At 42.2% G+C, this 27,867-nt stretch overlaps 1 protein-coding gene across 22 annotated transcripts in view, besides 2 other annotated features; it reads left to right on the top strand.

Annotated features, from left to right (window-relative positions):
• The window catches only part of TLE1 (TLE family member 1, transcriptional corepressor), a 105,865-nt gene that overhangs the window by 19,585 nt on the left and 58,413 nt on the right, over positions 1–27,867 (top strand). For 11 of the 22 annotated variants that reach the window (XM_047423817.1, XM_005252163.3, XM_047423814.1 and 8 more), the window contains exons 5-6: positions 15,927–15,989; positions 17,675–17,749. The exons of 1 other annotated variant lie outside the window; for it this stretch is intronic. In XM_047423817.1, the coding sequence (XP_047279773.1) occupies positions 15,927–15,989; positions 17,675–17,749 (138 nt within the window). Of the gene's footprint in view, positions 1–15,926; positions 15,990–17,674; positions 17,780–27,867 lie in introns of all 22 variants that reach the window. 10 more of the 22 variants (XM_047423816.1, XM_047423815.1, XM_047423813.1 and 7 more) reach the window with 1 other exon arrangement.
• Positions 6,346–6,847: an enhancer, noted in NCBI's record as "H3K4me1 hESC enhancer chr9:84278031-84278532 (GRCh37/hg19 assembly coordinates)". NCBI's record gives its function as "activates a minimal SCP1, AML or CMV promoter by ChIP-STARR-seq in naive H9 embryonic stem cells {active_cell/tissue: H9 hESC(naive)}" and the evidence as "EXISTENCE:reporter gene assay evidence [ECO:0000049][PMID:30033119]".
• Positions 17,928–20,683: an enhancer, noted in NCBI's record as "VISTA enhancer hs1359". NCBI's record gives its function as "enhancer in: neural tube[8/10] | hindbrain (rhombencephalon)[8/10] | midbrain (mesencephalon)[8/10] | forebrain[8/10]" and the evidence as "EXISTENCE:transgenic organism evidence [ECO:0001131][PMID:17130149]".

Here is a 27,867-nt window from a genome sequence, read left to right as displayed (position 1 = left end):
TACCTGAATTGAATCTTAGCTTGACACGATGTTGTTTGACATTGATATACTGTGGGGGCCTAAACTTATATGTGGTACAACATTATCTTTAAAAAGTCGCTCGGCCAAACCAGCAAAGGGGGACCGTTGGTATAAAGTCAGGGTTATTAACATTTATTTATTCTATGGCTTAAATGATGATTAGACTCTGGGTTCCCAAGAATATTTTGTATCTAAGGATTGAAATGCCTAAATAATGATTAAGCAGCTTTAATTGGACACTTGGGGAAAAAAAGATTTATTTAGCAGCAATGCGCAGTTTTTGGAACTGCCCTTCCTCTTTGTGTGCATGTCTTTTGGTGTGGGGGGGGAGGGTGGAGGTGTAAGCATGCATATATTTGCATGTACAAGTGAGGAGATTTTGGCACATGCCCCTACACTGCAGATGATTCTCTGTATTAGTTAAAATTTCTACTTTACAGTACTGCTTGCAGACTGGAAAATTGCGTTCCAGACTTCAGCTGATGATCTAAAACCTGAATAAGCATTAGTCTGTGGCTTAGAAGGTTATTTCCCCTCATTAATATATTGTTTAACTGGTTCCTGGCTTGTGCCACGGATTTGAAAACAGCCGAGTGGCCCAGAAGGAGGGAGGGCTTTTTATCCACATGTCTATTAGACAGATGGAGATGAAAATTGGTCTGAGGTCAAGCCATTTGCAGCGTTCTCACAGCCTTCGATTTTCCTCTCATCCTCACCACAGATCATCTCAAATGATTCAGTAATGACCAAAAGTGCAACATTGACCTTTATTCCCTGGTGGATTACTGTGTTTCACAGTCCAAATGGCAGGAAGTCTTTTCTGTTCTTCCAGAAGGAGTGCAGCATTATTGAGCCAACCCAGCCCTGTGGGAACCACACAAATGCAGACCAGTGTAACAGAATACGTGGGTTAAATTTGGTTTCTGGTGCTGTGGGAAACGAGAATTGACATGTCCTGGAACCCACATAATTAATGGAAGACTATCTAGGATGTTTTCTAAAAACACACAGGAGCATATAAATTGATTTGTCCACTTGTAAAATAACTTGTGAATTACAGGAGTGGTAACTTCTGGTGGCCCCTGGTTTATAAATTGTTCTTGTTTCCATTATCTTCAGTTCCTCTCTCCTTATTTAATGCTTCCCTAGTATATCTTAGACAATACTGTAAGGCTTTATAATTTTAAAATTATAAATTGACATGACTGAGCATAAAGGGATGAAGGCCTTTTTTTTGGCATACTTTTAATTATGTGTATTTTTGGTCAGTCCCTGTAACTCTGAATAGATTCTGTCCCATACGACACTTTTTTTCCCATCCTGAAAGTAGGTTGATTGTTATCTTGGAGGAATGGTGATTATTTTTCTCTTACTTAGATTCCTCTGTGGATTGTATAATGATGCAGTGATTGGGGTTTTTTTTGGTAAAGAAGTAATTTGTATTTAAAATGTTATTCCTGTTTGCCTCCACATGCATGGGTGAGTCAATATTCTGTGAATCCATACACCATGGCACCTGTCATCTAGGATCCTTTTGCTTACTCTCTTCTAAATACTTAAAATAATCTTTTCCAAAGGTTATGCTTTGAAAAATTTAGCTAGCATCCCAGATTTCATTTTAATCGTGACTAAAATGCTTTTGAGAAAATAAAACTTCTTGACTGTTAACTGTTCACAGGTTCTTTTTCTGCCTCAGTGGCTCCAAATTTTAATCCCTACCCTTGCCCACCACAACTTCCAACTTCCTTTACATATCCTTCTTTTTTTTTTTTTCGAGATGCAGTCTTGTTCTGTCGCCCAGGCTGCTGGAGTGCAGTGGCGCGATCTCGGCTCATCGCGACCTCCGTCTCCTGGGTTCAAGCAATTCTTATGCCTCAGCCTCCTGATGTAGCTGGGATTATAGGCATGTGCCACCACGCCCGGCTAATTTTTGTAATTTTAATAGAGACAGGGTTTCACCATGTTGGCCAGGCTGATCTCGAACTCTTGGCCTCAGGCAATCCACCCTCCTCAGCCTCCCAAAATGCTGGGGTTACAGGTGTGAGCCATCACGCCCGGGTCTGAGTATCCTTCTGGCTACTTTGAGAGTGAGTTGCGGAACATTGCAGGTTTTTTGGCATGTGATATTGATTAAAAACATAATTCCAGGTTCCATCCGGGAAGGCAGCAACCTTATCTTCCTTCCCAAAGGACCACCTCTCCCCAGCCACTCAGCTTGGGGGGGAGCAGGAATACAGCTCAAGGGCTGGGACTTCCCCGCTGAAGTTTCAGCACTGAGTTTGAGGGGCCAGGAATGGCTTTGATACATATATCAAAATTGGAGCCATTATGTGGCACTGGGGGCCTAGATCTCCTTGTAGAGAGCTGTTTTCCCTAAGAAGTTGCTCAGGAAGGAGAGTGGCAGCTGTTACTCATGTATGTGGGTCATTCAGCTGTAGCATGGCCCATGTGCAGAAAGTTCCTTTTCTACCATCTAGATTGGCTGAAGATTTAAATGTGTTAGGGAAACATTCAGAGGTAACTTGATTTTTGCTTCTTTTTTTTTTTTTTTTTTTTGAGACAGTCTGTCTCTGTCTCCCAGGCTGGAGTGATCTCTCGGCTCACTGCAACTTCTGCCACCCGGGTTTAAGCGATTCTTGTACCTCAGCCTTCTGAGTAGCTGGATTACAGGTGTGCACCACTACACCCAGCTAATTTTTGTATTTCTAGCCATGTTGGCCAGGCTGGTCTCAAACTCCTGACCTAAAGTGATCCACCTGCCTCGGCCTCCCGAAATGCTGGAATTGTAGGTGTGAGCCACCGTGCCCGGCTGATTTTTACATATTTTTATCTCACTCTGTTGCCCAGGCTGGAGTGCAGTGGCTTAATCAAAACTCCAAACTCCAAACCAAGGATTACTCCGAACAAGTGATCCTTTGCCTAAGCATCCCCAGTAGCTGGGACTATAGGCCACACCACCACACCCGGCTAATTTTTAAATTTTTTCTGTAGAAATGAGGTCTCACTATGTTGCCCAGGCTGGTCTTGAACTCCTGCTCTGCGGTGATCCTCTTACCTTGCTCTCAAAAGTGCTGATAGATGTGAGCCAGTGCTTCAGGCCTTTGTCTTTATTTACACAGGCATATTTTATTTTATTTATTTATTTATTTATTTATTTATTTATTTTGTGAGACGAGTCTTGCTCTGTCACCCAGGCTGGAGTGCAGTGGCATGATCTTGGCTCATTGCAACCTCCGCTTCCCGGGTTCAAGCGATTCTCCTGCCTCAGCCCCCTGAGTAGCTGGGATTACAGGCGTGCACCACCACGCCTGGCTAATTTTTGTATTTTTAGTAGAGACTGCGTTTCGTCATGTTAGTCAGGCTGGTCTTGAACTCCTGACCTCATAATCCGCCTGCCTCGGCCTCCCAGAATGCTGGGATTACAGGTGTGAGCCACCGCGCCTGGCTACACAGGCATATTTTAGTTTCATAATTGTAATTTTAACCTTCAACCAGTGATGATGATGATGTAGTCTACTTTTCCTCCCACTAATCCTGCCATTGTGTGGTATTACCTAATTTCTTATGAGCTCTCTAATGACTAAGATATGTGAAGAGGTTTAAAGGTATAGGCTTGCTTGGGGTGTGGCCCAGGGAGAGGCTTGCTTGCTTTCCACAGGAGAGTAGGTGATGACTTCACGGTGATGATCTGTGATTCACTCTGCGGAGTTTGGAGAAAGATTTCTTTCTCCACCACAGAGTGCATTTTCCTTTAAGCCCACCAAAAGCTGTCCTTTTTCCATCCTGGGACAAGTCAATACCATTTCCTGTGAACAGGCTCTTTCTGAACTCCATAACAAGGGTTTCTGAATAATGGAAATGTGCTATTTAGGAACTAAAACAGCTGTGATGCTTTTGTCAAAGATGCATCTTTACCAAAATGACAAATTAAAGCCCAAATGCTCTGCTTGGCAACAGTTGGGTCAAAACATTTAAGTCATTAATTAGACGGAACTGAAGGGGGAAAAATTTACACAAACAGCATTGCAGACTCAACTTCATCTTGGAAAATGCAACTGAATTCTTTAAAAAAAAAAAAATGAGGGCAGCCCTCAAGTGGGGCCTGGCAAGCTTGTCATTTGCAAATAAATCAAAAGACCATCATTGCAGGAAGGAGAACCAATGAATAGAGTTGCTTTGTCATTCTTTGATGGGCCCCACACTCAAGCCCGCTATTAAAAATGAATGCATTCAAGAGCCTCTGCATTAAGAACATAAACAATTAAGGGCACTTGAGTTGCTCTGCTGAGAGCTGCTGCGAAGATAGGAGAGCTTTCTCCGGAGATGCAGGCCCCTGCAATCTGCCTCACGAGGAGCTAGAGAATGGGAGCAATTAGTGTTGCTATCTGTGCCCAAGCAGCCTTCAGCACGGTTTTTTTTTTCCTTCCTTTCTTTTAACCCCTCCTTGTTTTCAGAGAACTGCGAGTGTGAAAGATGAGGAGTGAAAGGATAGTATCTGGGCCCAGTTGGAGAGAGCTCAGATTTAGAATGCTGCAGGAGCTGCCAAGTGAGGAGATGGAACATAAAAGTTATTATCTGCCAGTAATTGGTGACTTGTGTTCTGATTAGTTGAGCCACTAAAGGGTTTCTGTCATCTGGTACTCTTTGTTTTGTTTTAATCACAGGCTTGAAGAAGGGGCGAGATTACATTGCCATGGGTGGAATAACTTAAATGAATATTGTGCGAGGTTTTCCACAGAAGGCAAATGTGTTCCTACACCCCCGGTTTGTGTTCTTGCCTCAGTGTTTTGTAAAAATGTGTGAGAGGGCAGCTCTCATGTTGCTGCAGGGCTCTGGAGAGAGACAGGCCTGACCTCTCCTCTCCACTGTCTTGTTCTGATCTTAGGCAAGTTATTTTAGTCTGTTCTCCCAGGGGACCTGGTGTCCACATGAAGATTAGAGAGAGGGTGTCAGAGCACCTGGCAGGTGCTAAGCAGTAGATGCTGCTGAAATAGATGGCAGTGCTTCTCAAAGCATGTTCCCCAGTCCAAGAGCCTCAGGGTCACCTGGGAACTTGTTAGAAACGAATATTCTCAGGCCTAGACTCCAACAGGAACTCCGCAGGTGGGCCTAGTCATCTGTGTATTAACAAGCACAAGACCATCCTCGTGTACGCTGGAGTTTGAGAACCACTGATAACCTCACTAACCATTATAAGGTCAACTTAAAGGTACCTCACTTATTTTTTTTTTTCTTAATTAAAAGAGAGATTGAGTTTCCCTATGTTGCCCAGGCTGGTTTCAAACTCCTGGGCTCAAGGTATCCTCCTGCCTCAGCCCCGCAAAAGTGCTGGGATTGTAGGCGTGAGCCACTGTGCCCGACCTCCCCACATTTTTTAAATTTGGATTTCCCCAAAATGTGATTAGTTATTTTATCGGCATAATTATATTTTAAACAAAAGCTACTCAGACACATTAGATTTAAAGATGAATTTACCTTTTCATGAGCTATTGGTGAGCAAGGCACTGTGATGGGAGAAATCTTAAGACTCTGAGTAGCAGATATCCTGAAGGAGGCCTCTTGGCAAAGAACTCTTCCTTTCCTATGAAGGGAAAGAGAGTATTGGAAGATTATTTGCAGTGTTTTGTGTGTATCATTTTTGGTACACAGTTTTTATTCATGTATCCCTAATTAAGTTTTTTTTTTTTTTGGTAGAGGCAGTGTCTTGCTGTGTTGCCCAGGCTGGTCTCGAACTCCTGGCCTCAAGTGATCCATCCCGCCCAAAATGGTGGGATTATAGGCATGAGCCACCATGCCTGGCTCCTAACTTTCTTTAGGTATAAAAATAAGACGTCATCTTCAGGAACTAGAGATGTGTTTGTGGATTTTGTTCTACTGGTGGGCCAGATGGTCTGATGTTAGGGTTGATGCATCATTCTTTCTGCCTGTGAAGGAGAATATTAAAGTGGAGTTTGGCTGCAACTCATTTACTTAAGGTTTGCAATTTATAATTGAGGTCCCTTATAAAATGTCTATTCTGGCCAGGTGTGGTGGCTCACACCTGTAATCCCAGCACTTTGGGAGGCTGAGGTGGGCGGATCACGAGGTCAGAAGATCGAGACCATCCTGCCGACATGGTGAAACCCCGTCTCTACTAAAAATACAAAAATTAGCCGGGCGTGGTGGCAGGTGCCTGTAGTCCCAGCTACTCGGGAGGCTGAGGCAGGCGTGAGAATGGCGTGAACCCGGGAGGCAGAGCTTGCAGTGAGCCGAGATTGCGCCACTGCACTCCAGCCTGGGTGACAGAGCGAGACTCCATCTCAAAAAAAAAAAAAAAAAAGTCTATTCTGTGCGGATACCTCTGCTAGGGTAGCAAGGGCACGGTGACCCTGTCATTGACAGATGAGAGGCACTTTCTGTAGTCCCTTTGTTGGCTGAGGGATCATGCGGACTTGTCCTTGTGCTGCTGCAGCCCTGTTTGGGCTGTATGGCCTTTCAGCAGCTGCGTTGCTTTGCAGGCAGGGCCGAGTTCATCAGCTCTTTCTTGTTTTATCTCCCAATTCTCAACTTCTGCTTTCTGGAGAAAGAACTAGACAGGGAATATGTGGCTTCTTGCTCTATGATCTTGGACAAATCATTTCCTTTAGACCTCTGTTTTTCTACCTGTGATTTGAGGATCGTAAGAGGGCTGGGTACCCAAATAGTTCCAGGTTTGCCAGCATTGTTGTGTCTCAGCACCACTGTTGATCGCAAACGTGGTGAGCCTGACGGCGCTTATCTCCCTTCCTGATGAAATATTAAATTTAAACAGTAAATTGGTCAGGTGCAATGGCTTGTGCCTGTAATCCCAGCACTTTGGGGGGCCGAGGCGTGTGGATAATTTGAGGTAAGGAGTTCGAGACCAGCCTTGCCAATATGGTGAAACCCCATCTACTAAAAATGCAAAAATTAGCTGCACGTGGTGGTGCACACCTGTAGTCCCAGCCACTCGGGAGGCTGAGGCATGAGAATCGCTTAAGCCCAGGAAGCAGAGGTTGCAGTGAGCTGAGATCATGCCACTGCACTCCAGCCTGGGCAACAGGGTGAGACCCTGTCTCAAAACAACAACAACAAAAACATTTAAACAGTAAATCAAGGGCAATGATTCCAAGTCACTGGAGGGAAGAAAAAAAGGTCACTAAAAGCCCTACCACCTCAGCATAATTACTCTTAATTTTGGATATCAATTTACGGTGCTTGGCCACTTTGCTAATTTTTTTTTTTTGATACGGAGTTTCACTTTTGTTGCCCAGGCTGGAGTGCAATGGTGCGATCTTGGCTCACTGCAACCTCTGCCTCATGGGTTCAAGCTATTCTACCACCTCAGCTCCTCAAGTAGCTGGGATTACAGGCATGCATCACCATGCCCTGCTAATTTTTTTTGTATTTTTAGTAGAGACAGGGTTCACCATGTTGGCCAGGATGGTCTCGAACTCCTGACCTCAGGTGATCCACCCACCTCGGCCCCCGCAAAGTGTTGGGATTACAGGCGTGAGCCACAGCTCCTGGCCCTTTAAACACACACACACACACACACACACACACACACACACACACACACAAAACAGGCACACTAATACTAACACCGTGTCTCCTGCATCATCTAGTGAATGTCTTGGTCATTTTAGCATCATTATCAAAGTATGACTTTAATGGCTACTTGCCATGCCTGTGGGTTGGTGTGTAGCGTATTTAACTGTTCTCTTAGTTTTAGACAACTGATTTATTAGGAGGGCAAATGTTAACTTTCTCAAAAACTCGGTAGATGGTTGTGATGTGTTGAATTGCTGTTACATCTTTACCTGTTTTTTTCTCTTTTCGCTTTGAAACTAGTGCTGCAGTGAACAGCTTCATGCATGGAATGCTTTTCATTTGAACTATTTCCTTAGGATAAATTCTTAGCTGTGGGAAGCCTTACCAACGGGTTTGAATAATTTCATGCTCTTGAAACACATTGCCCAGTTGCCTTCCAAGACAGCGCTACCAATTTAATGTCATCAGTAACGTATGATTGTTCCACTTTCCCTGAGGATGCTTCATCATTGGATTTTGTTAATTTTTTAAAAATTGCCTTAACTTCCTGAATGACCTACCTTACTTACAACAAAATTTACATTTTTGTTTGGTTGCCGGTGAGGTTTCTGTGTACATTTTTTTTGGGGGGGGGATTTAAGGTTGTCATTTCACAGACTCAGAAACTTCTAGTCAGAAGGGATTTAGAGGTTATCTGTTTATTTCCTTTGTGTGCTTTGTTTTCATGTTCTTGCCCATGTATCTGTTGCCAGACACTTCTTACCAACACTCCACTGTGTTTTTATCTTGGCTTCCCGCTTGGTTCAAAGAAACCAGAAGATCAGTTTGCCAGCCCTCAGCATAAGCACCATTTTTTTATGATCCATCAATTTGCAATTTAATGCTGGTGGAGTTTCCCCTCCCTAAGCTGACTTTGGGCAAGGTGCCATTGGATTGCTTTGAGGCCCATGGGCAATTACTCTTAAGCAGTCCTCACCCTGTTTTGAGCTTCAAACAGCACTCATTATGCACTACTGTATGTGTAGTGGGGAAGTGTGCGGGCGCTGAGGAGTGGGCTCTTCCGTATTGCAGTTAGACAAAGTATGAGAAGTAGGAAAGGTGGTTTTAGGAATTATAGAACCCTAAACTCTTAAGTTCAGCTACTCAGAAGACCATATCTTGAAAAAAAGATATATATATATATAAAAATACATATATATATAAAAATACATATATATAAATATATATGTATTTTTTATTTTTATTTATTTTTATTTATTTTTATTTTTGAGACCGAGTCTCACTCTGCCAGGCTGGAGTGCAGTGGCGCCATCTCAGCTCACTGCAACCTCTGCCTCCCAGGTTCAAGCAATTCTGCCTCAGGCTTCTGAGTAGCTGGAACTACAGGCACGTGCCACCACGCCAGGCTAAATGTGTGTGTGTGTGTGTGTGTGTGTGTGTGTGTGTGTGTGTGTGTTTAGTAGGGATGGGGTTTCACCGTGTTAGCCAGAATGGTCTTGACCTCCTGACCTCGTGATCCTCCCGCCTCGGCCTCCCAAAGTGCTGGGATTACAGGCGTGAGCCACCACGCCCGGCCATATCTTGAATTTAAAAGTCGCAGAATACACTAGAGTTTGATTGATTGCTGATCTCTGAGGTCCTTGGCCGTATTTCTGCTCAGTTAAAACATACATGTAGCTGGGCATGGTGGCTCATGCCTGTAATCCCAGCACTTTGGGAGGCTGAGACCGGCGAATCACGAGGTCAGGAGTTGGAGACCATCCTGGCTAACACAGTGAAACCCCGTCTCTACTAAAAATACAAAAAAAAATTAGCCGGGTGTGGTAGCAGGCACCTGTAGTCCCAGCTACTCAGGAGGCTGAGGCAGGAGAATGGCATGAACCCAGGAGGCATAGCTTGCAGTGAGCCGAGATCGCGCCACTGCTCTCCAGCTTGGGCGACAGAACGAGACTCTGTCTCAAAAAATAATAATAATAAAATAAAAAAATAAAACCATACATGTACATGAATTTTATACTTACCAACGTATGATTTTGTTTTTTTTTTTTTGTGAACAGCCTTTGTCTAGCACTGTTTAGTAATGGTTTATCTGGTTGCACCTTGGCCATTGAATTTAGGGGTGCATGGAGATTAAGTTTTGGTTCATTGAGGCATGACTTTGAAAGTATATTAAATATGTACCCTGGCATCAGTTTTAGTAGGGGAGGTACGGCAAAGAAATGTGTCACAGTATTTAGTAGGAGTCGTGTTCTCGTAATGCTTCCCATCTTGTTGTGTTGAGAAGGCTTTTAGGTAGAAAGCTGTTAAGAAACTGTATGGAAGCTTTCTTTGTATGACATGGTGATTTTTAAGCACATAGGTTTAGTTTACCAAATGACAGTAAGTGCTGTGGAGGATCTTGAAGGGCCTAGAGAAGAGTGCGTTTATTGGCGTTATGGGGGAAAGGCAGCTTCTCAGTGAATTTGAGGCAGGCCTTGAGGGATTGGGAAGATCTCTCATATTTGTACAGCACTTTGGAATAGTATACCTTACATACCAGCTCATCAGCTCACTCGATTTTGATGAAACTCTCAAGTAGATTGGTGGTAATCCTGTTAAGTACGAGACCTGGTTGGGACCCAGTGGTTTAAGTGATTTAACATAGAACCCCTAGCAGTAGTTTGCCAAGATGCAAACCCTAATTTTTGGATGATGAGGGCTAACTGTATTACCATATGCAAATCAGTGAGGAGAGTTGGCATAGGTAAGGAGAATGAAAGACTGTTGTAGACAGGTAATTTGGACTCCTGCTTCCTCCTGCCTCAGTAGGTGGTGGCCATCCATGAAGAAAGTCTTGTTGCTGGAGCCTTCATCCTGCTGCTTACATTTCTGAGTGGAGGGTTTCATGCAGATTTGGTTTGTGGATAGCTCTTGAATGCAGATTTATTGTTGTTGCCTTACACAGTATTAAAAAATCTAGGCACAGGGAAAGTTTATAAGCATTATGACTTAGTGGGTACCAAATAGGTATTCATCATTGGGTAGGAAAATTATTTCTAGGTGGGAAATACAGTTAGCCCTCAGTTTTTCACTGGAGTTGTCTAGCCTTTGCAAGAGGTGGAAGGCAGCAGGGTCAAATACCCAGGTTAACCTGCCAGCACACTCCAATCAAGAATAGAAGCATGGGCAGGAGTCACTACGAGAGGCCAGGCGCGGTGGCTCACGCCTGTAATCCCACCACTTTGGGAGGCTGAGGTGGGCGGATCACGAGGATCAGGAGATCGAGACCATCCTGGCCAACATGGTGAAACCCCATCTCTACTAAAAATAGAAAAATTAGCCAGGTGTGGTGGCGCGTGCCTGTCATCCCAGCTACTCGCGAGGCTGAGGAAGGAGAATTGCTTTAACCAGGGAGTCGGAGGTTGCAGTGAGCTAAGATGGCTCCACTGTACTCCAGCCTGGTGACAGAGCAAGACTCCATCTAAAAAAAAAATAAATAAATAGATAAATAAATACATAAATAAAATAAAGTCACTACGAGACTTGTTAATTTGTGCTAAATTAAGAATCTTACCAGAATACCCTTTTGTTGAAGCAAGAGATAATACTAAGAATTATTGCCAGTTTGTATGCTGCTGCAATCCAGACTATTTGAAGGGAAGATGTTCATGAAGTCCTCTTGGAGAGCTAGTGATGTTTTAGGACTCACAGAGCATTGTTGGGTAAGCTGTGTACCCTCACCTGCCAGGAGGTAGGTTGTGCAGGTGAAGGAGCCAGGGTATTTCAGAGGACGTCAGCGCCTTTTCTGGGGTAAACCAGCTTGTTAATAGAACAGTCCAAGACTTGGATTTAGATTTTCTGGCTCAAAAGTCAAGCTGGCTTGTCAGTATAGTTTAAGATTAGGGTTTAGAGACCTGGCAGACGGAGGGGAAGTCTTGGGTAAGACTCTCCTCTATTGCTCCTATTTGCTTCTTCTCCAGACCATTTATGTAGAATTTCCAGGACATATGGTATGGCTTTCGATGTTTTTCATCAGTTTGAGCTTTGATTTCTAACTTTTCTCCTCCTGTTTCAGGCTTATCCAGTCTAACCCAACTTACATAGTACAGTCGGCCCTTTGTATCTGTGGGTTCTGCATCTGTGAATTCAGCTAACCATGGTTTGAAAATACTTTTTTTTAAAAAACATTGCATCGGCCAGGCACAGTGGCTCATGCTAGGATTATAAATCCTAGCACTTTGGGAGGCTGAGGCAGGTGGATCACTTGAGGTCAGGAGTTTAAAATCAGCCTGTTCTACATGGTGAAACCCCGTCTTTACTAAAAATACAAAAAATTAGCCGGGCATGGTGGCACGTGCCTGTAATCCCAGCTACTTGGGAGGCTGAGGCAGGAGAGTTCCTTAGAACCCGGGAGGTGGAGGTTGCAGTGAGCCAAGACTGTGCCACTGCACTCCAGCCTAGGTGACAGAGCGAGACTCTGTCTTAAAAAAAAAAAAAAAAAAAAAAATTATGTCTGTAGTGAACATGTACAGACTTTTTTCTTGTCATTATTTCCTAAATAATACAACAACCATTTACCTAGGATTTACATTGTATTAGGTATTTTAAGTAATCTGGAGATGATTTAAAGTGTATGGGTAGATGTGCATAGGTTATATGCAAATACACCATTTTATATAAAGGACTTGAGCATCCTTAGATTTTGGTTTCCATGGGGGATTCTGAACCAATCCCTCACAGATACCGAGAGACCACTGTATTCATTGCCTTTGCTTTCATATGTCTTTCTTTTCTTTATTTTATTTTTGATAACTTTAATATTATTAAAGGTTTACAAGTTCATTTCATTCAGACTGGATCTTAACTGTCCTCCGACCATGTTCAAGTCTACTTTGATGCCATTCTAGGTAGTAACACATAGTTGCTATCATAGTTAAAGATGAGGGCATCTTTTCTTAAACCAAAATAAATTCCAGTTAAATAGTTAAGCATAAAAAGTGCAGCCATAGCACACTAGAAGAAAAGTAAGAATGGCTTTTATGATATTGATGTGTTCTAATCTTTACCTAAAGGCCAGGAGCATAGGAAGAAAATGCTTTCATTTGACCACATAAAGACTTAAAGTTCTATACAGCAAAAAAATCATATTAAGCAAGGTTGAAAGACAAGTGGCAAGCTGAGCAAACTCTGATAAAGGGTTAATATTTGTCCCATTCAAGGAAGCACCACCAAAGGACAAAAATGATTAAGCAACAATGGAAGAATGGAGAAAGGAAACATAGAGTGGAGCAATAAATACATGAAAAGATGTTTAACTAGAGGAAGAATTCAAGTAATGCAAATAAAAATGAGGTCATTTTTTAATCCATTAGATGGATGAAGATTAAAGGAAGGTCAACAAAACTCAATATTGACACTGGGTGGGAGAGCAGGAACCCTCCTAAACTCGCAATAATTGGTACAGCTTTTCTGCTGGGCAGTTTGGCAGCATGCATTGCAACTTAAAATATGCATACACTTTGACCCAGCAGTTTCACATCTAGGGATTCCTTTTAGAGATCTGTGTGGAGGCGTATTTGACAGAGTTGTTAATTGTGCAAAATTAAATGAAACATAAATATTCACTGGTGTCAATAGTACTTAGACATCTATATGCTTGTATGGTGGAATGTTTCAAGGTACTTGTTAATCTGTATTGACTGGGATGGTGTCCCTGACACATGTTTGATTAACAAATTATAGAAAGGCAGGGTATGTAACGGAAACCCCTTGGTATTAAAATGTGTCTCTCACTCTGGGCTTCTGTGCACATAAGTGAGAACCTGGAATGATGGTATCCTAAAATCACCAATATGTTACCCATGCTTATCCTTGGATGATGGGCTCAGGGTTATTTTAACTTTCTTTTATATTTCTGTATATGTATCTGTGTGCATGTGTATGAGTTCAAAGTGAGCATATATCATTTTTAAAACTGGAAACCTTCAATGTGAATTTCCGAGAAGAGGAATGTACAGAGTGTTGCAGGAATGTGTGGTAGGTAGGGAGTTGGGAGCAAGGACCTAAGTAGGATACCTACCAAAGGCATCTCTACTCCTTTACATGCACTCAAATAGACAGTGCAGAACCCTGTTGCAAAGGAAAGCCTTGCCCATGCTTTCGAGGAGAGCCATGACCTTGAGGTAGCTTGAGTGGGTGGCTGTGATCAAATGAACTGGGTGGGGCTGACCCAGTTCTGTTTTTGTACCTGGTACAGCTGCACCCTTTTTGCATATATCTGCCTCGCTGGCTAAAGCAAGGTCATGCACGGGCTTCCTCTCTCTACCAGTCATTTCCCCTTCTAGTACATTTTGTCCAAGGCATGGTCTGTCTGTAACCTTGTCTCATTGGTGGTCAGGGAGAATTGGGTTGGGTCAGACTAAATCCAATCTTATAAAACCAAAGACTTTGCTTAGTTAATTCAGATCATCTTAGAAGATACAAGGCTGCTGTTTTTTATATGCTTGATTGTAAAGTTCCTGGGGTTTTGTTCTTTTCTTTTCTTTTTTTTTTTTTTTTTGAGACAGGGTCTTGCTCTGTCGCCTTGGCTGGAGTATAGTGGCGCGATCTCAGCTCACCGCAGGCTCGACTTTGTTCCTGGGATTTCTACTTTGTCTTTTTCCATTCTCTATTTCTCAAGGTCATGGACTGCGTGCTTTTAAGTTTTTTTCTTGTGATCCTTTTCATTGCTTAATTCAGTAATATAGGTGGCATTTAGTAAGCATTGACAAAATGATGAAATAAGTAAGGTCAAGGATGGGCCTCTTTACAGATGACTTTTTTTTTCTTTTTTAAAAAAGCAGAACTGGTTCTTCCTAGGTAGAGGAAAGCAGAGCTGCTTTGCATTGCTGTAGGGTGTTGGAGGTGCTGCAGGTGGACCCTTCCCTGGGCTAGAAGTAGAGTACCCTCTGTTCCCTCTCTTGCCAGTTTTTGTCCCTTGTAGCAGAGGGACTGCTGTGGATGTGGAGCGGAGCAAAGGTTTTTCCAGCCTTCTTTATTTTTTTTATTTTTTGAGGTGGAGTCTCACTGTCGCACAGGCTGGAGTGCAGTGGCGTGATCTCGGCTCACTGCAGCCTGCACCTCCCTCGTTCAAGCAGTTCTCTGCCGCAGCCTCCCGAGTAGCTGGTATTACAGGCGCCCACCATCACGCCCGGCTAATTTTTGTATTTTGAGTAGAGACGGGGTTTCACCATCTTGGCTAGGCTGGTCTTGAACTCCTGACCTCATAATCCACATGCCTTGGCCTCAGAAAGTGCTGGGATTACAGGCGCGAGCCACCGCACCCGGCCTTTCCTGCCTTCTTTAAAACAGCCCGTGCTATAGACACTAAGGACACCTTTTATTATGTTCAGCTGACCCCTGGGCCCTGTCGGTGAGGTCTTTGAGTTTGTTACTGAACTGTGGCGAAACTTTCCGAATACTCAGGATATCATGACTTGACCATCACCCTCTAGACTGGAATGTTTTTAGTCATGTTTTCTTGGTTTGTTTGAAAGTTTGAGACTTAGGGAAGCTATGAACAATAAAATCCTTTTTCAGTTGTACAAGAGCTGGGACAAGTGGCAAAGAGGTCAGCAGGCCTTTCTTCTACTCTATCACCTTAGGCCTCATCTTTGAAAGGTGGACTGCTTTGACAGTGCTGCAGCTGCAGTGGCTTCTGACACCCGCTTGAATGAACTTGCAATAATGACATAAATGTGTCATGGTGTGCCATCATTGAAAAAGTACACTTGGCTGGGTGCAGTGGCTCACGCCTGTAATCCCAGCACTTTGGGAGGCCGAGGCGGGCGGATCACGAGGTCAGGAGATCGAGACCATCCTGGCTAACACGGTGAAACCCCACCTCTACTAAAAATAGAAAAAAATTAGCCGGGAGTGGTGGCGGGCGCCTGTAGTCCCAGCTACTTGGGAGGCTGAGGCAGGAGAAGGGTGTGAACCCGGGAGGCAGAGCTTGTGGTGAGCCGAGATCGTGCCACTGCACTCCAGCCTGGGCGACAGAGCAAGACTCTGTCTCAAAAATACATATATATATGTGTATATATATATAGTCACCATATTAAATGATCATATAGCCTTAAACCGCCTAGATTTTCCAACTCAATCAAACTACTCATCTCTTATTACAATGAAGTGTGCAGTTGTGGCTTACTTTGCAAGTGGGATTAATATCTACTGTTTATTTCAAGATAAGTATTAGTAACATAACCTGGGGAAACCATTTTATACACATTTCCAGAGCAAGGGAGAGGAGGACTGAAGTGTTAGGGGTATGAAGTTTTACCTTTCTGAACTGATTGTGAAGTATTCTAAACATTTGTGTGGCTTTGTCTTTATAGACTGAAATCGCCAAGAGATTGAATACGATTTGTGCACAAGTCATCCCATTTCTGTCTCAGGAAGTAAGTAAAATTGTTCAGCTGTTAAAGTGCAATTATGTTGCTTCTCTGTTTGCAAATTAGCTAGTTTTAAGATGTTAATTTTATCACAAGGAACAAGTGTGAAGAACATCTGTTACAGCTGAAGTGTGTAAACCCCCTGCTAGTCTATCCAACACATCTGAGGGCACACTGTAGAAATGGTGACAATAGCTCAACCCCCAAATTAATTTTTTTTCCTGTGGAAAACTGCAAAATGACTATCCAATGTACAGCTTTTGCTTTAAGTAGCATAAGCTTGAGAGCTACTGAAAATTCAGGTGTCTTTTATATCTTTTAAATAGAAAGCTGTTCTCATACTGACTTTTAAAAATGGTTCCATCAAGGTAGACTTTACTATGGAGGCAGATAGTTCTTTTGTACTTATGTATCAAGGCAGTTGTCTTAATGCTGTCCTTGAAGGGGTGGATGATAATAGTCCAAAATACATTAACTTAATGAGTCATATGTATGTATAAGCTATTTTGTTTAGTTACAAAGTCATAGAGGTTTAATCTTAACATTCTTTGAGGGAGGAATCTCTTTATATGAGTAATCTATGAAACTGACTCAAGACTATTGTATTTTAGCTTTGCCTTGAAAAGTTTACCTTCCTTCTGGATATAAGCTAGTAAATGCTGTAACGTGTTCTAAGTGTGCACGGGATGAATGCATCTTCACGCAGGGTGGAAAGTTTATTGGACTAGGAGTTGGAATACTGGGTATCCTGGTTGGCACCTGTTGCTCCATGCCGGATGGTCACCATCTCATTATTGTTGTAACAGCCTCTTCCACCATAACCTTTGTCTGTCTGATATGACAATAGATTTGTCTGCCTTTTGAGTATATCAGTAGTTGTTAGACTTTAGTGATCCACGGCTCTATGTTACATTCTCATGCCTCCCAAAGTAAATTTATGGCTTTGTTTTTATTTGTGGGTGGAGTTGGGAGTTGGGAGGTGTGGGGTGAGTTTCCATCTCTGAATTGAGGCTGGAGTCCTTCCTTTGCCTTGTGGAGGGTAAAGAATCAAAAGGCTATAAAAGAATGAGAGGAATTCCAGGAGTTTCCGAAAATGACTGGTGGGTCAAGATTGGTTGATCAGACAAGTGATCAACCAATCAACGGATTTAATATTAAAGTTTTAGGTATTAAAATGGGTATTTTATTTATTTATTTTAAAAATAGAGACAGGGTTCTGCCATGTTGCCCATGCTGGTCTTGAACTCCTGGGCTCACCCTGTCTTGGCCTCCCAAAGTGCTGGGATTACAGGCATGAGCCATTGCATCTGGCTGTAAAATGCATATTTTAAAATTGCTGTAAACTTATGAACCCCTTTTGTGAACAAGGGTGATCTTCCAAATTCTGTTCTATTTATTTTTTAAGGTCCTATGTTATCATTCTTTATGTCCTTTTTTGTTTTCTACCATTCCAAGCCGAAATTTACAGCCAGAAGTAGTGACTGGTGTTGTTTAGAAATAAAGGGCAGCGCCATTCTCAGTTTTTCTTTCCCTATCTATGTTCTGTGAAAATAAAGTGTGGTTGAGAAATTCTGCATTTAAACCCTTCTACTTCAGCCTGCATTGCACACAGCATTTGACTTTTTGTTGTTAGAATATACAGTGAAGTTTTTGGCTGTTGCTAATGCCCTTTCTTCTCCTTGTTTTCAAAGCATCAACAACAGGTGGCCCAGGCTGTTGAACGTGCCAAACAGGTGACCATGGCAGAATTGAATGCCATCATCGGGGTACGTGGCCTACCAGGTCTACCTCCTACAGTGTGTATAACCAGCTTTCATTTCTTATTAATTTGATGGCTTTACGTGTGTGTGTGTGTGTGTGTGTGTGTGTGTGTATCTTAACGTTGACCTATTTGATAAGGGTGGGAGGAGGAGAGGAAGAGACTTGGGATGTGCTAAGGTATATGGAGGAAGAGGGCTTAGCATAAGGAAGATGACAGGAGAAGCATTTTAGGAGGGGACAAAAAATCTATTAATTAAAAAAATTCTTTTTAAACAGACCGGGGTCTTGGTATTTTGCCTACTCTGGCCTGGAACTCAAGTGATCCTCCTGCCTTAGCCTCCTGAGTAGCTGGGTCCAAAGGCAGGCACCCCCTTGCCCGTCCCTAAATCTACTTTTAAGTGGGAAAATAAATGTAGTTCATCCTGTGACACCTAAACCACCCTTGCTTCATTAGTCTAGTAAAAGCTTTAGGTTAGAATTTTAAATACTTTCCTCACTTCTGTCTTACAATGTTAGATCACAGTGAGGTCAAAATGGGTCTCTGAATTATCATTTCATTTAGTTATCCTTGCTTTTTGCCTTTTGCTTTCTGGGGTATTCGAACCTATAGAACTGTTGGCTCTTGTTCTTTCTTGTGCCTCTTTCATGAATTTTTAAGTCACACACCAATGAAAAGAGCGCTCTCTTGCCATGGAAGAATTGTTAATTGTCTGCCCTAGTGCTCCCTGGCTTTTCACCGGGGTTCTGCTCTCCTCTCTTGAGTTCAGTTAGTGCTCCGTGCTAGCCACTGGTTGTCAATCACAAGTCATTTGCTCTGCATTAATGAATCTGGTGAACCGTGCATTCCATCCCCTGCATGAGTTCATCCTCCGCCCCCCACTGCAGGACCTGGGATGGTTCTCATGTGTTCGTCCCCTTCCACACTAAGCCAAAGAAGGAGCTGAAACAAGGGACCGTCCTTTCTGATTTTATTCATATGTGAGTGCCTTGAGCAGATTCAAATCACTCATTTATCAATTTATGTTAATTGCTTGTGAGATGATGCCCTGCTGGTCTTTATAGTTCCCTCAGACACTTTGTAATGATAATTAGACATGCTGCTGTACGGATTAAGAGTGCCATAGTCCAATGACGGCCACAGACAATGGAACCAGTTAATCCATCAGGGCTTAAAATTACATCCCAACTGGAGATGGAGAAAAAACATAAGAGCCAAGGAGGATTAAAGAATGAGCCTCAGCTTGAAAACTCTCCTTTCATCAGTTTCTCAATTGCAGATCTGCAGTTGAGTTGTCTGTGGTAAGCTATTGGCAGTCAATTAGGTGAAATAAACTAGGAGGGTGACCTTCATTTCCTTTTAATAGCTTTTTCCTCCCTGAAATGGGGAGCTTCAGTGGATTTTCAGCTTAAATTTTATTCAAGCTGCTTTATTACACTTGACAGCTTAGCTCTGCATAAACAATTCTCCCTCCTCTTCCCCCCAGATCCAGGCACTGCCTTCCCCCTCCTTCAGTATCACATTTTTGACTGTTACTTAGTGGGCTCTCTAATCACATTCAACAAAAAACACAATTACATCTGCATTTGTCTGCTGCCTTCTGTACCCTTTTCTTGTGTAATGAATTGCTTTATTTCAGAGATCAAATCAAATATTCACTGGTACTTTTGCATGTACTGTGTTTGATTAGCAAAGACTAATAGTGAATTGTACTTGTAGCTCAAGCACAGAATTTTTTCACCCAAATGAATGAGGATGGAAAAGCCTGTTTTGATTAAAAGAAAACATATGCAAAGCAGTTCTCAAGTACCCGGTTAAACTTTGTGGAACATGTTTGTTTTCTGATAGACTCTACATTACGACATATAATTTCATGATGGCAAAACTCTGACGTTTAAATTCTCAAAGGCACCGCCCAGCTCTTGTGAATCTCCTTTGCACCTACACTTTAGGAAGGAGGAAATCGCATTAACCAGATGTTCATAGGTAATACCCATTTTGAGCTGAATCAGAGAATAAAAATAGCAGATCTTTTTAGAAGGGCAAATGAATTTCTAATTTTACGAATGGCTTTAGTCCAGGAAAAATGTTGTGGAGGTTATTATAAAGGCAGGTTAGCTCTGGATGCCTTGGCAACAGTAAACCAAAGTGGTGAATCAGGCGCAATGCAAGCGAGACTTAGGCCCATTGTGTGTCTTGGGCATACTGGCATGTGCGGTTTTTATCATTGTAATTTTTGGATTAGTATATGAATTTATGTCCGAAGGCTCTTTTCAAGTTTGTGGTGATCAATAATTATCCCACACCTTAAGTTTCATGCTGTGGCATATGCTTGATTTTTGCCTGAAAGGAATTGTGTGCGTTCTGGAAAATTGAAGTAGCATAAAATTGGGTTGACAATTCAGTGGACCTTTGCACCCCTTCATTGAACATGCAGTGTGTCAACCTGTCTCCCCAGAGGGGAGGAGGTACCGGGAAACTGTCTGTTCCTACAAGCAGCAGCTGCGCGCAGAGTAAATGCAGCCTGGTTTGATAGCAGCTGTCAGTATTGTTCAGGGGCCGACTTAGGGTAAAGAACAATGGGAGAGGCCACGCTCTTAGTCTGCATCCACTTTCAGGCTAAGAAAAGAAATAGTAATTTAACGGTTTAGACATCTATTACAAGTGTGAAAGATCATGAAAGAGTACCCTTTAAAATGCAAATGAGCCGAAACATTCTCATTCCCTTTAAGGTACAATCAAGGAGCTTTACTGCTTGCTTGACAGGGCTAAAGATATTTCTCTTTATCAAACCTGGAAAAAGTAAATCATCTCAAGGACATCCAGCTTCTAGGTTAGTTCAAGGTGTGTCTTGGGCCTGTGGGTGCTCTTCGAGGAGACAGAGAGAGGTTGTATTTTTTCTGTGCTTGTTGAGTGAATTAACAGTCCCCATTTCTCACCAGCATAGAAATTGTAGTTCTCCTGTCTGACAAAAAATACTGAATTTTAATTCTTTCTCACCATAGCACCTGCCTTCAACTTACATAGAGTACCGGTATTTAAGAAAAATAAGCTTCTTAGGTATTTGATACTGGAGAGACTATTGAAATATTTTTGTAGACCTTTTTTTAAACAGCTTTGACAGCAAATTTGATGACTGGCAGAATAATAACTACAGCCCTACTTTTTGACTGTTGCTTCTTACCAATTCTTTTCCTATTAAATGTATTGTAGTCTTGTCACAATGAAAAGGATAATTTATAGTGCAAAGGTGTACAAAATATGTACAAGGTTTATTTGGTTTGACACACAGCTCACTTAGGCCTTAGAAAACAAGTCGCATTGTGGGAGGGGAACTTACTCATTTGAGACCTTGAGTTTTTAGATCAGGATCGTTTTTACACCATAAGCAACATTTTTGTTTGTTTTTTAAAATTTCTATTAAGAATGATCAAAACAAAATTGGTTATTAAATGTTGTAACATCTTATTTGTGGAATGGCTAATGGCTGCCTGAATGCAGGGATAATTGATTGAAAGACTCTTCAAGACCACTTCTCCACTTTATTATTTGGGGAGTTTGGAACTAAAAGCTCTCTTCTACCTGCTCTGATAGATATTGAATAATTGATTTCAGTTGGGATTGGGATTTTAAATAATTATTGTTCTCTTTACATCACAGATAATCGAGGGATAATATAGAGAGATACATATCTGTACACACATATATTTGTTTTTTTCAGTTGATGTATAATTGTAATATAGTGAAATGCACAGCTTGATTTTTGATACCTGTGTATACCTGGTAACCCACATTCCACAATAAGGGGGTGGTTTCCAGGACCCCAGTGAATTCCATTATTCTTACAGTTTTTCCCCTTCTCCTAAAGAAAGATATTTGCTTTTTTTTTTCTTTCTTTCTTTTGGCATGTGAAAGAAGAGCTAAAGATGCTTGGGTTTTTTTTTTTTTTGGAGACAGTGTTACTCTGTAACCCAGGCTGGAGTGCAGTGGTGTGATCTCGGCTCACTGCAACCTCTGCCTCCCAGGGTTCCAGTGATTCTCCTGCCTCAGCCGCCCGAGTAGCTGGGATTACAGGCATGCACCGCCATACCCAGCTAATTTTTGTATTTTTAGTAGAGACAGGGTTTCACCATGTTGGCCAGGCTGGTCTTGAACTCCCAAACTTAGGTGATCCACCCGCCTCAGCCTCCCAAAGTGTTGGGATTACAGGTGTAAGCCACCGTGCCTGCCCATAAAGATGCTTGTTTTTTTAACTGAAAAGTTAAAAGAGAATCAGCTAATTGCATTTTTAAAAATATTAATAGTAAACAATGGCACAGTTGTATATTTTATTTCTAACCACCTGTTGGTCCATTTCATGGTGTTTTTGGTAATCCACATAGGAATATTTACATTGTGTTGCCTTGGACAAAGCATGGGCCTTGGGATCAGATGGACTTGGGGAGGATACTTAGCTGCCATCTATTAGCTTTATGACCTCATATAGTCAGTTAACCTCTATCAGTGTCCCCTATCTGTAGATGGTAATACCGTCTACCTTCCCACCCTTCCCTGAACATGTGGTCCTGACTCCTTGAACTGCAGTTTTGTCTGCCTGGTTTCCCTAAGTGCTTGTAGCAGATCTGTGGGTCCAGTTGGTCAAGTCCTGGTTGGTGGTGGTTGTGCCAAGCAGCAGTGCACCTCCTCCTTTGTCTTTAGTGGTTACAGGGATGTGGGTGTTTGAGATTAGACCCAGCCAGAGGCTTTGCTCCTGCCATTAAGTTGTTGTGCATGAATGACTTTTAATAAGGAAACAGTAGTGAAAAAGGATGGCCATTTAGCTTTTGATGTGCAAACTTAAGTTTGGGGAACAGATGGAGACAGAATTGAGAGCAAAAACGTGAAGACATCATTGGCTTCCTTACCTAACACAAAGAATAAGGCAGATAGTGTCATTGTTGGCACAAGAGGTTATAGGAATCATTCTGTTAAAATTGGGAGGGAAGAGAGAGTTAGAAGACATCGTCAGATGACCAGTGGGGACTGTCCTCCCGTCCACAAAATGCCAGGTTTCTATTTGTGGCCTCAGAGCTGACAGTTGGGTGCAAGAAAATTTGAGCAGTTACCCATAGTAATGCCTGTGAACTTCAGGAGATCAAGAAATTTGAGTTTGTTTACATATAACCTATGCACAAGAGAAAAAAAAAACCATGAAATTCGGGTTTAGGCAACCTCATTTTTCTTTCTCACTTATTTGGATGTAGTCTGACTTATTTTTCATGAACATAACCTTGGTCAAGGCATATGGGGCTTATATGGGAATCTGTTTATTGGTCAGATTTCTATATTCCTTCTCCATAGGCAAATATCTGATTTTGTATATTTTAAAACAACTTAGTATAAAATTAAAAATAAGTCTAGGGTATTTTGTGATGTCTGACTAGATGTTTTTGTGTAGGGGATGGCTGTGAATTCAAACTCCTAAAACATTTGTAGAAGGAGCCTGTCTATCCCTAAGAGATTGAGTTGTAGACCTAAAGGGCTCTCCACTCTTGCATGAGATGATTGGTTTAAGGATTAGTAAAATGTTGGATTATTTTTCTCCTTTGGCTATAGCTGTCAGCTATCTATGGGATTGTAGTGTGTGAAGTTTAAGAGGATGAGGTTGGCCTCTTATTCTTATGAGTATGTGGTTAATCCCTGGAAAGCCATCAGTAACCCAGCTGTAAGTTTCTTTATAAAACAAATTCTCCCTAGGAGAATAATGCATATCCTGCTACCGAGAGAAGACTAAATAGCTACAACAAACATGGATCTTCTAGCTCTACTAACTTGTATTTAGTGACGTACTCTCTACTTAAATTCCAACACTCTAGCCCTTTTATTAAATTTCCGAAGGGAAAGAGCAATATTGCAAAGAAGTCTTCGCAGTCCGTTTCTCCTTTGGTTAAATTTGTTTGTTTGTTTTTACTGAGAGCACAACTAGGCGCCTGACAAATGCAGAACTTTTCCTCAGTGTCCGGATTATTGTCATCATGCTTTGTAGTTATTAGAAAAGTGTTGAAGCATTTACTTTTTAATTTCCCCACATATTTCTTTCCTTTTTTAAAAAAATTTTAATTTAAGTTCCGGGATACATGTATAGGATGTGCAGGTTTGTTTCATAGGTAAACGTGTGCTGTGATTGCTGCACCTATCAACCCACCCACATAGTTTCCTGTGATTTTTACTTGATTCCCTGGAATAAAGCATTATATATTCTTCATTTTTCCAGAAGGAGAAAAAAGCTTCAGAATAGAAAATAGAGTACCCCATTATAGGAGTTACACCTGTGTGTTTTTAAATTTTTTATTTTTGTGTGTACTAGGTGTATATATTTATGAGGTACAGGAGATGTTTTGATGCAGGCATGCAGTGTTTAATAAACACATCATAAAGAATGGGGTATCTATCCCCTCAAGCATTTATTTTTATTTTATTTTATTTTATTTTATTTTTTTGGAGACAGAGTTTCACTCTTGTTGCCCAGGCTGGAGTGCAGTGGCTTGATCTCAGCTCACCACAGCCTCTGCCTCCCGGGTTCAAGCGGTTCTCCTGCCTCAGCCTCCCAAGGAGCTTGGATTATAGGCATGTGCCACCACGCCTGGCTAATTTTGTATTTTTAGTAGAGACGAGGTTTCTCCATGTTGGCCAGGCTGATCTGGAGCTCCTGACCTCAGGGGATCCACCCATCTCGGCCTCTCAAAGTGCTGGGATTATAAGTGTGAGCCACCAGACCCAGCAAGCATTTATCTTTTGTGTTACAATCTAATGACACGCTTTTAGTTATTTTAAAATTACAATTGAATTATTATTACTATTATTTTTTTTTTTTTGGAGACGGAGTTTCTCTCTTGTTGCCCAGGCTGGAGTGCAATGGCGCGATCTTGGCGCTCACTGCAACCTCTGCCTCCCGGGTTAAGCGATTCTTCTGCCTCAGCCTCCCCTCCCAAGTAGCTGGGATTACAGACATGCGCCACCATGCCTGGCTAATTTTGTATTTTTAGTAGAGACAGGGTTTCTCCATGTTGGTCAGGCTGGTCTGGAACTCCTGACCTCAGGTGATCCACCTGCCTTGGCCTCCCAAAGTGCTGGGATTACTGACGTGAGGCACTGCACCCAGCCTATTGTGTGTTATTTTTAAAATTGAGATATGATATATACACCATGAAATTCACCTTTTTTTTTTTTTTTTTTTTTTTGAGACAGTGTCTCACTCTATCACCCAGGCTGGAGTGCAGTGTGCAGTGGTGCGATATCGGCTCACTGCAACCTCCGCTTCCCGGGTTCAAACGATTCTCCTGCCTCAGCCTCCCGAGTAATTGGGATTACAGGCACACACCACCATGCCTGGCTAATTTTTGCATTTTTAATAGAGATGGGGTTTCACCATATTGGCCAGGCTGTTCTCAAACTCCTGACCTCAGGTGATTCACCTGTCTCTGCCTCCCAAAGTGCTGGGATTACAGGCATGAGTCACTGCACCTGGCCAAATTCGTCTTTTTTAAAGCATACACTTCTGTGGTTTTTAGCGTATTCACATTGCTGTACAACCATCACGACTATAAAATTTTTCTAGAACATTTTTGTCACCCTGTAAAGAAACTCCGTATTCATTACCATTTATTCTTCATGTCTCCTCCCCTAACCTCTGGCTGCTACCAATGTGCTTATCCATCTCTATGAATTTGCCTATTCTGGACATCTCATATGAATGGAATCATATAATATGTAGCCTTGTATGCCTGGCTTCTTTTACTTAGCATGTTTTCAAGGTTTATCCATGTTGTCGTATCACCAGTATTTTAGTCCTTTTTATTGACAATTAACATTTCATCAATATACTGCAGTTGCTTATTCATTCATAAGTTGATGGATATTTAGGTTATTTCCACTGATTGGCTATTTTGAATAATGCTGCTATGAACATTTGTGTACAGGTTTTTGTGTGGGCATGTTTTCTCTTGGATTTGTCTCTGGGAGTAGAATCACTGGGTCTATGGTAACTTTTTGAGCAACAGCCAGACTGTTTTCCAAAGCGGCTGCATCATTTTACATTCCCACAATAGCGTACGAGAATTCCAATTTCTCTACATGATCTCTGGCATTTCCTGTCCATCTTTTTTATTCTCCGCATCCTAATGGGTGTGAGGCCGCATCTCCCGTTTTTGATTTGCATTTTCCTGATGGCTGATGATGTTGAACATCTTTTCAATCAAAACCTGTATAGTTTTTGTAGTGGATCCACCTTCACATGGCTTGTCATAGCCTTAATGGCCTTCCAGGGAAATGGGATGAGCAAGGCAGTGGTCATGCAGGAGGAGTTGGCCTATGTGGATTAGCTGAAATGGAGAAAGAATAAAGACAGGCCAGGCATGGTGGCTCACACATGTAATCCCAGCAGTTTGGGAGGCCAAGGCAGGAGGATTGCTTGAGCTCAGGTGTTGGACACCAGCCTGGGCAACATAGCAAGACTTTTTTTCCACTGAAAATCAAAAAAATTAGCTGAGTGTGGTGGTGCGTGCCTGTAGTCCCAGCTACTCAGGAGGTTGAGGTGGGAGGATTGCTTGAGTCTGGGACTTCAAGGCTGCAATGAGATAAAATCATGCCACTGTATCCCACCTGGGTGACCAAATGAGACCCTGTCTCTAAGAAAACAAAACAAAGGGCTGGGTGCGGTGGCTCATGCCTGTAATCCCAGCACTTTGGGAGGCTGAGGTGGGCGGATCACCTGAGGTTGGGAGTTCCAGACCAGCCTGACTAACATGGAGAAACCCCATCTCTACTAAAAATGCAAAATTAGCCTGGCGTGGTGGCACATGCCTGTAACCCCAGCTACTCAGGAGGCTGAGGCAGGAGAATCGCTTGAACCCAGGAGGTGGAGGTTGCCGTGAGCCGAGATCGCACCATTGTACTCCAGCCTGGGCAACGAGAGCGAAACTCTGTCAAAAAAAAAAACCAAAAAACAAAAAACAAACACACCACAAAGTACCATTTTAGCAAATTTCAAGTATACAATACCGTTATTATTAACTATAGTCACCGTGTTGTACCTTGGAAATCCAGATCTTCTTTATCTTGGGTAACTGAAACCTTGTACCCTTTGACCAATTGCTCCTCATTTTCCCCTACCCCGCAAGGCAGCCGCCATTCTACTCTCTGCTTCTGTGAGTTGTACTCTTAGATTCCACATAGAAAGGAGATTATGCATTATTTGTCTTTCTGAATCTGCTTATTTCGCTTAGCCTACTGTTCTGCACATCTGCCCATGTTGTCGTAAGTGGTAGGATTTTCTTCTTTTTCAAGGCTGAATGGTATTCCATTGTGTTTATAGGTACCACATTTTCTTTATCTGTTCATCCATCAACAGACATTTGGGTTGTTCGGTATCTTGGCTCTCGTGAATAGCACTGCAGTGGTCATGGATTGCAGATGTATCTTTGATATACTGATTTCATTTTCTCTCTCTTTCTTTCTTTCTTTCCTTTCTTTCTTTTCTTTCATTTTTTGAGACGGAGTCTCACTCTGTCACCCAGGCTGGAGTGCAGTGGCACCGTGTTGGCTCACTGCAACCTCTATCTCTTGGGTTCAAGCAGTTCTCCTGCCTCAGCCTCTGGAGTAGCTGGGATTATAGGCACCCACCACCATGCCTGGCTAATTTTTTTTTTTTTTAAGTAGAGACGGGGTTTCACCATGTTGGCCAGGCTGGTCTCGAACTCCTGACCTCAGGTGATCCACCTTCCTCGGCCTCCCAAAGGCTGGGATTACAGGCATGAGCCACTGTGCCCGGACCTCGGACCCCAATTTCATTTTCTTTAGATATATACCCAGAAGTGGGATTGCTGGATCATGTACAGATTGAGCAGCCCTAATTCTCAGCCAGTAAGAATATTGCAAATATTTAAAAATCTGAAAAAAATCCAGAATCCAAACATTGCTGGTCCCAAGCACTTCAGAAAAGGGATAATTAACCTTTTTGAGAAAGTAGTTCTATTTTTAACTTTTTGAGAAACCTCTATACTGTTGTTTTGCATCAGGGCTGTACCAATTTACATTCCTAAGAACAGTGTACAAAGGTTTCCTTTTCTCCACACCATCACTAACACT

The sequence above is a fragment of the Homo sapiens genome, chromosome 9 (assembly GCF_000001405.40).
Source record: "Homo sapiens chromosome 9, GRCh38.p14 Primary Assembly".
NCBI lineage: Eukaryota > Metazoa > Chordata > Mammalia > Primates > Hominidae > Homo > Homo sapiens.
This window is presented reverse-complemented; position numbering and strand designations above follow the sequence as displayed.